The sequence below is a fragment of the Homo sapiens genome, chromosome 11 (assembly GCF_000001405.40).
Source record: "Homo sapiens chromosome 11, GRCh38.p14 Primary Assembly".
Lineage (NCBI taxonomy): Eukaryota > Metazoa > Chordata > Mammalia > Primates > Hominidae > Homo > Homo sapiens.
The window spans coordinates 2,261,546-2,270,904 of NC_000011.10; the positions used below are offsets into that span (position 1 = coordinate 2,261,546).

At 60.4% G+C, this 9,359-nt stretch overlaps 1 protein-coding gene across 1 annotated transcript; it reads right to left on the reverse strand.

The window, feature by feature from the left end:
* Nucleotides 1-6,952: 6,952 nt before the first annotated feature.
* Nucleotides 6,953-9,043, reverse strand: ASCL2 (achaete-scute family bHLH transcription factor 2). Its single transcript, NM_005170.3, has 2 exons — nucleotides 8,188-9,043; nucleotides 6,953-7,581 (listed from the first exon to the last, which is right to left on the reverse strand). The coding sequence occupies exon 1, from the start codon at nucleotides 8,785-8,787 to the stop codon at nucleotides 8,206-8,208; it is 582 nt and encodes a 193-aa protein (NP_005161.1). The 5' UTR covers nucleotides 8,788-9,043; the 3' UTR covers nucleotides 6,953-7,581; nucleotides 8,188-8,205.
* Between the last annotated feature and the right edge of the window lie 316 nt (nucleotides 9,044-9,359).

Below are 9,359 nucleotides of genomic sequence, written 5' to 3' on the forward strand. Positions count from 1 at the left end.
AGCCGTGGGGGCCTGGCCAGCCTGGACAGAATCCCAAGGCTCGTAGGCAAATGCCAGGAGGAGGGGGTGGGCAGAGGACCCAGGAGCCTCCCGAATGGTATCAGGAGAGCAAGCCTGGGCTAGGCTGCGGGCCATCAGCGTGGGCCCTGGGCCACGACCTGGCATCCATGTGGACCTGAGCACGACAACAGGACAAGCAGAGAAAAAAGTGGATCCCAAAAACAGGGCTCCCAGGCCAACTTCTCCCTAACACCAGCTCCCAGCACCCCACCGGGGACTGCAGCCCCTCCATGGTCAATCAGGGTAGCCCTGGGGTCCCTGTCACATGACGTATGCCCACCCTCCGACAGCCCTGCAGCCTGTGGGACGGCCCGTGTGCTCGCCGAGGCGCTTGGAACCTTGGAGGGCAGGCTCTCAGAAGATTGGCTCAGGGACCCTCTGGTCCACCCTCTCGGCATCCCAGGGTGTCCTGGTCCCAGGAGATGCCTCATCCCAGGCCACACGGGGCCCTAGGCCTTTCCGTCCTCAGCCCTGTCTACTCTACCCTCTACAAGAGAGGTCCAGAAGGGGCAGTGCTTGACCCAAGAAGAAGAGGCTGTAACTATGGAGAGGTTGGGAGGGGGAAGTGGCCCTAAGGGCTGGAGTTTTAGAAAGCCCTCTTGTTCCTGCCCATTATGGGTTGGATTTTATGCCCTCCAGACTCACATGTGGCTGTTTTTGGAGCCAGGGCCTTTAAAGAGGTAATTAAGTTAAAGTGAGGTCATTGGGGGGACCCTAATCCCATGTGACCGATATCCTTAGTAAGAGGAGGTGAAGACACAGACACGCACAGAGGGATGGCCACGTGAAGACACAGGGAGAAGGCAGCGTCTACAAGCCAAGGAGAGAGGCCTTCGGAGGTGGGGGGCCTGCGGAATGGTGAGAGACTAATTTCTGCTGTGTAGGCCCCCTAGTGTGCGGGGCTTTTTCACGCAGCACAGGCCAACCCATTGCAGCCTCTCCTGCTGTTAGGACCCCAAGTCCATCCTCAGGGACATTAATTAACATAGGAACTTTTTATCCTGATGGTGTCACCTCCTAGGCAGAACAGGGACCCGGAGGCAGGCCTAGCTGCGAACCCCCAGCCCTCCCTGTCCTTCTCGCAGGACAGCGGGTCTGGGGCTGAAGGCTGTGACGCTGCCCCTGCCTGGATCACAACAGGCAGGACGGCTGAGCAGGCACACATCTGTCTCTCCCTCTGCTGATCTGTGGCCTTGGACAGGGGCTACTCTGGGGGAGCTGACAGGTGACCCCCCCAGGAGGCCCCTCCCTGCCTCTGGGCTGGGAATCCACCTCTGTGGAGCCCCTGGGAATGGCCTGTTTCAAATACGTAAGTGGGAGCAAGGTCTCATCCTCAGCGGGGGACATCGCTGGGGGCAAGGCCAGTGGGTGGGTGGGAAGGTTTCTGTGGCACTGGGGCCTCCTGTTGATTGATTCACCCAATTAATCACAGCCAGCAGCTGGGGAGGGGGTAGGAAGGCGGTGAAGGGAAAAGGAGCCCACAGCCGGGAGGCCCTGGGAGGTTGGCAGAGGCCTGCACCTGCCTGCAGCCAGCCCTCCGGCCCAGCCCTCTTCCCTCCTTTCGGAGGGGCCAGAGCATGGGGTGCTAAGGGCTCAGTCTTTAACCCCTCCCCAGCTCTCAGGGAGCCCCTCCCATGCTCCCCAGGCCTCTGCCCCACTTGCACCTCCCCGGGCCCCAGGGCACAGGACGCTTTCCCCACCCTTTGGGAGGCTGAGGGTGTCAGGAGGCCTGGGCTGAGTGCTGGCTTCCGTCTCACTGGCTTGCAGACAAGACCCTCCATTTCGGTGGAAAAACAGCAAGAACAGCACCCCCCTCCAGGCAGACCCAAGGGAGGCATCGGTGTGAGGGCTTCAAGCTCTGTACTGTGGGTTTAAGCCTTGCACCTCTGGATACCTGTGGGCCTCGGGCAGATCACTGAGCCTCCCTGCATCTGGAAGTCGGGGTGAGACCCCTCAGAGGGGGCTGGGAGGAGGAAGGGCCCCTCTTGATGGGCAGCCCCCACCCTCCACCTACTGCCCTGCCCTCCCAGCCTTCAGGGTCCTCCCCAGCTTCTGTGGGCTCCCAGGTGGACCTGGGCCACCCCTGAGACCCCGAAGAGCTCAAGGCCAGCTAATAGCCCACAGGCTCAGGACAGCACTGGACAGGCCTCTGGGCCCACCTGGCCCCACTCCCGATTTTTATGGGAACAAAGACTGAAGGTGTGGCCCCAAAGGAACCACCCCTCCCCCAGTGCCCCGCTGCTGGGAAAAGGGTCAGCAGAGTTTGGGTCTCCCCCCACAAGCCCTCTGGGCTGTGCGTGCTACAGCTGAGGACATGGCGTTGAGGGGCAGGCCGCCTCCAACCCCGTCCACCTTGCCCTGTCTAGCTCTGTCCAAGGCTCTCTCCGGCTGGCTAATCACCTCTGGGCACAGCTGTGCTGCTGAGGTCTCTGGGATGACTGAAGGTCTTTGAAGGCCACTTTGGGAGAAGCGAAGGTGCATGGACACCAGGGACCCTGCTCACAGCGAGTGTCCCTGCCCCATCCCTTTCTGCATTGAGTGGGACAAGCTTGCTTCCATTTGGGGGATCGCCATCTGACTATTCCACTTGTCTTAGGGTGGGGCAGAGATTAGGTGATGTGGAGGGGCTTCTCTACATGGCCCCCCTGCCCCAGCTCTGAGGGGTAGCACCAGAGTGGGTTTCACCAGCGTAGGGCACGTAGGCCCCGCCATGAACAGGGCCCCAACCTTGGTTTAATGCTTTGCTACTGCCATCTTAAAGTTCTTTTTTTATTTTTTATTTTGCTTTATTTTTTATTAGAGATGGGGTCTCCCAGTGTTGCCCAGGCTGGTCTTGAACTCCTGGCTCAAGCAATCCTCCGGCCTCAGCCTCCCAAAGCACTGGGATGACACGTGTGAGCCACCTTGCCTGGCCTTTGGAATCTGACTACTTTTATCTTCTAACTTGTTTTGCAGGTGCAGGCCAACGGCATACAGCAGCACTCACATAAGCAAAGGAGAGCGTGCACAAGGCGCCAAATGTATATCCACCCTCACTCGTCCCCCCACTTGAGTAGCGCATCCACGATGCCCACAGACACCAGGCCACACAGAAAAGGTGCCAGGGACCCACAGCAGTGCAAGGCAGCGTGTCACACCTACGCATGAGCAAGCCGGGCGCTGATGGCCACCGAGCAGCCACGTTTTCCATTCAAATCCGCACTTGCTAAGGATGCAGCAGGAAGCCAGTGGTGTTCTAACAAACGTGCAGGACCCGGGAACCTGTCATGTCCTTTCTTACTTGTGCGACTTCTCTGTGTTAGCCGAGGTCTCTTGCTGATGGATCTACCCACAGTGCCTTTTGTCTTTGAACTTGTCCCTTCCCTCCTTCCTCGCCCATCAGCGAGCAGGAGGTGGAGGGTGCTGGTGGAACAAGCCTGCGTCAAGGAGTGAAATCAGCTGATTTCATTTTTGTGCAGTTTCCACTGTTCTAGTAGCAAATGAAATAGAGACGCCTGTGCCAGGACAAAACACACACTGTGTCATTCCAGTGATTCCGCATAGAAGTTAAATGCTCTTATGCTTGCATTTTAAACTGGCATCACATAATATAAAGATGGATAACTACATTCACGCTAGTCACTTAAATTCCTAATCTTTCTTACTCAGAATGGCATTAAATAGTGAGTATAAAATAAGAAGTATAAAATAGTAAGTCAAGAGGTTGACTATAGAAGAAAGAAAAATGCTTTATATTTTAGCACCTTGAACATGACATCACGATCACCTTCTCCCTGGAATCAGTTTCTAACTTCCAGGTGGGGACTAGGCCTGGACCATGAGCTCCTAGCAGAGCCCTGCTGCCCCCACAGCAGAGCCCAGGACAGGCTGGCACCTGGGCCAGGTGAGGCTCTGTCCAGGCTCACTGATCTCAAATGCTGAACTGCTAAGGATGTCATGTCCCCAAAGGAGCCGCCAGGCTCAGCCTCACTTCCTGGAAGGCGTGAACATTGCAAGAATGTGGAAGTGAAAGAGTCCAGGGCTTAAATCTCAATTCTCATCATTTTCAAGCTGAGTCCAAGGGAGAGAAGACAGTCATGGATTCTTAGTTTCTGTTTCTGGTTGAGCCAGCAGGGTCCCTTCCTCATCCCTCTTTTCTGCTTATCACTAGAGACAGAAACTAAAACCATGACTTTAGGCTGCTGAGAGCCTAAAACAAAACGACAGCAAGAGAAGGTGGGTTGGACCAGCTTGCCTGTGACTTCAGGCACTTCATCTTTACTGGGCACTGGGTGAATGACAGTGTGGGGAGGGGTCTTCATAACACGGCAATCAGCAGCCCACTGTGCCCAGGAGACTCGCCTGTGGTCCTGGTTATCAACCACAGCCCTTTCCAGTCTCAAAAATGTCCCCGCTGGGACAGCAAGTTACATCGTCGCTACAAGTCCTGTCTCCTGGGAGATGCAGTCCAGCAGCACTACATCCTCTGAGCAGCAGGTGCCAAGTGGGATGAACTGGATAAGGACTGCATTCGGGGAAACGCCCGTGTGAAAGGAAATACACAGGAAGGAGGTGGCAACGGGTGGGAAGCCACTAGACCACGACGCGATTCTGCCCCAGTGAAGGCGAGGGGATAGCCTGGGCCTAGATCGCTGTGAGGTCTATGGAAGTTTCCACAAGCTTGCTGGGTAGTTCTCGAGGCAAACTCGGAAAGGGAGTCCCTTGTCTCCCTGGAACGGATCTTTCTTGGCATCTCTGTCACACTCATTAGGTGGGCCTGGTGTCAACCCCATTTGCAGGCCACCCCAAACTTGATCAAAGGTCCGCTTCTGGCACCCCATACCCTGTCCTACAGGAAATACAGGGACAGGCTCCCAATAACAACACCCAGCACGGTGCCATCAACACCACCACGCACACGGGGGCTCAACGGAACAGACATCTCCGCTTCTTCAATGAAGACACTGGAGGGAAATTGCTTACAAGGCGCTTAAGAGACCTATTAAGCAAACTTGATGTGTGGACCTGCGGCGGATCCCGATTCTATAAGGCCAACTGCACAAAACCACGAGACCCCCTGAGGACTGCGCCATTGGCTGGGTCCCCGATGATATGAAAGAACGGTGGTTCATTTGAGCGGGTGATGTTTTTGCGGTTTCCTTTAGAGGCACACGTGAAACATGACGGGTGAAAGGATTCAAAGTCTGGGATTTGCTTCAAAGCAACGCAGGGATGGCGTGGGGGATGGATGGGGCAGGAAGGGCCTTGAAACTGGTGCTGGAGGCTTCCCAGGGCTGCCCTGGAGCCCAGTGCGTCCTCCACCGGCCAGACTGTACAACGGTTGGATCCTGTGTCCACTGCTAGGACCCAGGCTCCACGAGCACGGGCTTGTGTGGCACACGGATGCACCCTAAGTCCTGGCACAGAGACTGCTCAACAAAGGCCTCGGTGCTTTTGTGTATGTTTGAAATTTTCCATAATAAAATGAAAAATGGGAAAATGGGAAAACAAAAATGGCAGCACTACTTACCCTCTGCAGAGTTTTGTCCGCTTCACGCCAGTGGGTGGCAGTCGTTTCCTCTGCCCTGGCCTTCCATCGTTTCCCCCCTACCCTCTTCACCCACCCAACAGCCCCCTGTGGTCCTGGCAGCTGTGGGCCTTTCCTTGAGGTCAAGGTGTGGAGTCCTGGGGAGGGCTCAGGGAGGCCACCGACCCGGGTGTGGATTCTGGGAGAAGCCTGTGGGATGTCCCTCCCTGGGTGACCACGGCAATGTGCCCCCTCCTGTCCCTTGGCCAAGGCCAGTTCCCTGAGCCCTGCAGCCCCAAGCCACAGCTGGTCCACTGACCCCAGTTGAGCCTGGTCCTCATCAGACCAGCTGACCCCTTTGACCCCCGCTACAGACTCGGCTTTGACCTTGGCTGCTGAGGAGCCCCCACCTGGACTGAGGCTGCAGCTGGCGAGAGAGGAGCCCTGAGCTCCTCTGATAAGAAGGGACCTGGCCAGCCTGACGTTTGAGACCCAGGCATCCCGGTAGCCTGGGTGTCCTGTTGCCGTGGTTATTCAGGAGCCACCCACTCTGGGACAACACCAGCTGCTCCCACCTCGCAGGGCTCCCACGGCTCTGTCCCAACCACTCCTTTCTGAAGGAAGGGGTGCCTCTGCGCCCTAAAGAAACCGGGGGAGCCCCACAACCCCTCCCCCACCAGGACACTAAAAGGCAGCTTTCGGTACAGTGAGACATCAAAGCCTCCTAGGCCCTGAGTCAAAGGTATAGCCGTGTAATATCCCAGTGCCAGCTCTCCGGCTGCGGGGAGCCTGGCGCAAAGCTTCCAAGCCTTCCTTGTTCCTTTCAAGAGCCGCTCTTAGAATTCAGGTGAGCGGAGACCTGCAGGGCCTCCCCAGTGCGGGCAAAACCCAAAGCTAGCGAGAGGGCAGCCTCCAGGCACCTCTCACTAACTCCTCCCAGAGGCCGTTGAGGTGGGTCTGGTCAAACCCATTTGCAAGTTAACCCACTTGCCCTGGGCTGCCCAGCTGCCACGTTAGTGGAGATCTGAGCGTGGTGGCCTGCGCAGGAGCCCATGCCCTCAGCCCCACAGCCGGTGCTCTCTGGTCAGACCACCTCAGCCTAGCCCCACACCCAGCACTTACCCCAGCCCTCGGGATGGGTCAGCAGCCTCCAGCCTGCAGCTTCCAAGCCAGCGAGTAGCCCTGTCTGGACAACCCACCAGCCCACCACCTCCTGGAGGATGCCCCCAGCCTCACAAGGTGTCCCAATGGCTCCGCTATCAACGGCCTGGCTGCACTCCAGATCTCACCCAGACCCACCCTACGGAGGAGGCAGCAGGGTTTGAGGAGTAGTGACCACGGAAGTCTGGCCGTCACCTGGGAAGTGTAGGTGATAGGAGCCACTGGTAAACAGAACTGATTTATTTATAAAGTTCACGCTCCCTTGAAGAGGTGTGCCCCACACAGGCTTCTCCCTAGCAGAGCAGCAGTGCCCACAAACCCACCCCAGGGTGGGCTGTCACGGGGGCCTCACGCCAGGGACCCCGCCCCTCAGGGACTGCTCGTGTCCAGATCTTGGCCAGCATGGAAAACTCCAGATAGTGGGGGCAGGGGTCCAGGTCATCTTTATTACGCCCCAGGTCAAGGGTTCTTTGTACAAAAATAGGTCTCCGTTTGCCAGCAGTGTCCCTCCAGCAGCTCAAGTTAATGTGTAGAAAATGGATTCTCTGTGCCCTTAGAAAATCCTCTCCCCTCCGGAAAAATCTCCAAGTGTTGGTGCCCCCCGCCCCACTGCAGTCGAGAAGCTGTGGGGAGGGGCGGCGTCGGAGGAAGCCGCCAGCCCTTATGGGGCCAGCTCCAAGCCCGTTTCCACCGCGGCATTGGTCAGGCTGGGCCGGACGAACGAGGCGGCGTCGGCGGTGCGGGGGGTGGTGGGTGGGTCCCCGGCTCGCTGGGGGCGGAGCGCGGGCCGGTCCACCTGGCGGGCTCCCCGGCGATGAGCGCGCCGGCCGCTCGCTCGGCTTCCGGGGCTGAGGCTGCGGGGGGAAGGTGGGGAACCAAACGCGCGTCAACGCGGGCGCGGGCCCGGGGCAGACCCCGCCCGGGCCGGCCCTGCCCGCACCTCCCCCAAGCGAAGTCGGCAGTTTCGTTTGCTCGGTTGGTTTTGGAGTCTTGAGTCCGTGGGTGCCGCGACTCGGTCTGAGACACGGCGGGGGCGGGGCGGGCGCTCGGAGCCGCGGTGAGTCAGGGCTCCGCGCCCGCCGACTCATTTCTGCCGCCCCGGCCCGGGAGCGCGATTTGCAATGCAAAGTCACCCCGCCTCCAGCACCCCAATCTGCCCCAGGATCCGCCAGCACTAGAGACCTCAACGGCCCGACGGCCGCTCCCCTCCCCTCGTCTACCCCTCCCTCGTCGGCGGCTGAGCCGCGAGGGGAAGTTTTGCAATCCCGGACAAACAAACGCCGGTCTTGCACGGGCTTGAAAAACTTTGGGGGAAATGAAGAGTGAGCGAAATCGAAGCCATCGCTCGGGCCTGGCGCTCGGCTCCGCGGGCTCCTGGGGGCGCGACCCGCCGGGCCTGCCCACCCCGTCCCTCCACCCCGGCCCCCGGCCCTCCCTCCTCCCTGCCTCCCGGCTGTTACCTCATAGGTCGAGGGCGCTCAGTAGCCCCCTAACCAGCTGGAGAAGTCGAGTAGCTCGCGCTCCGCAGGACTCAGCGCGCCTTCGCAGCCGCTGTCGTCCGACGAGTAGGCGGAACGCGGGGAGCCGGGCTCCGAGCTGCCCCCGCGGCCCGGGGACGAAGAAGCGCGGGAGGGCGAGGCGGCGACCGGGGTGGTCCCTGGCGGCCCGCGGGGCGCAGACGGCCGCACGGCCTGCGGCCTCAGCCCTCCCGCCAGCGCGTTGCGCACGGCGTCGTGCTCGGCCAGCAGGCGCTGCAGCGCGCGGATGTACTCCACGGCTGAGCGCAGCGTCTCCACCTTGCTCAGCTTCTTGCTGGCGCCGCCGTGCGGCACGTGCTGCCGCAGCGCCTGGAAGCCCAAGTTCACCAGCTTCACGCGGTTGCGCTCGCGCTCATTGCGCCGCGCTACGGCCGCTGCGCCGCCTCCGGTCTCTGCGGTGGCCGGTCGCCGCCGCCGGCTGCAGCGCAACAGTTCCGGGGACGCGGGTCTCCGCCGGGCAGCGCAGCCGACAGGGACGGGGGGCGCAGGGGGCGCGGACCTGGGCAGTGTGCCGCCGTCCATCGCGCCTGCATCCACCCGCCCGCTCCAGGTCCCGGCGCGCCGCAGGAAGGTGCAGGCAGAGGAACCGGAGGCGACGGGGAAAACTGTGGCGCCCCAAGGGGGCTTCTGGCACGGCGCCGCCAGGCAACTCCCCAGGGCACGCGTCCTAGGTCGTCTGGAGCCCGGGGATAGGAGGCCTAGTGGTGGCAGGCCGTACGCGCCAGGGAGCGTGGGACGCTCGTGTCCCGCGCGTGCGGCCGGACTCTCCCAGGTCTCCGCAGGCGCGGCGCAGGCGGCTGGTTTTTAAATGTATAGATAACCCTCCTCCGCGCCGCCGCCGTCGCCTTTCTCACGCCCTCCTTCCTTCGCCTCGCCCTCCCGCCACGCTTCGCCCTCCCCCTCGCGCGATCACATTCTGTAAGGCCCAAAGCGTGCGCATGTCCCCCTAGCCCATCCCCCGGACGCAGTCCACAGATCCCCAGTGCGCCCAACTGGCGAAATCTGCGAGTTCCCGGTGCGCCCCCTGCTCCCGGCAGGTGCTTAGTGCGCCCCCAAAGCAAGGTACGCAGGTCCTGGGTTGAGCCTTCCCGTAC

What these genes read in the sequence shown, in the direction of transcription:
- ASCL2 (NM_005170.3), bottom strand. Translation starts at nt 8,787, where the DNA reads ATGGACGGCGGCACACTGCCCAGGTCCGCGCCCCCTGCGCCCCCCGTC.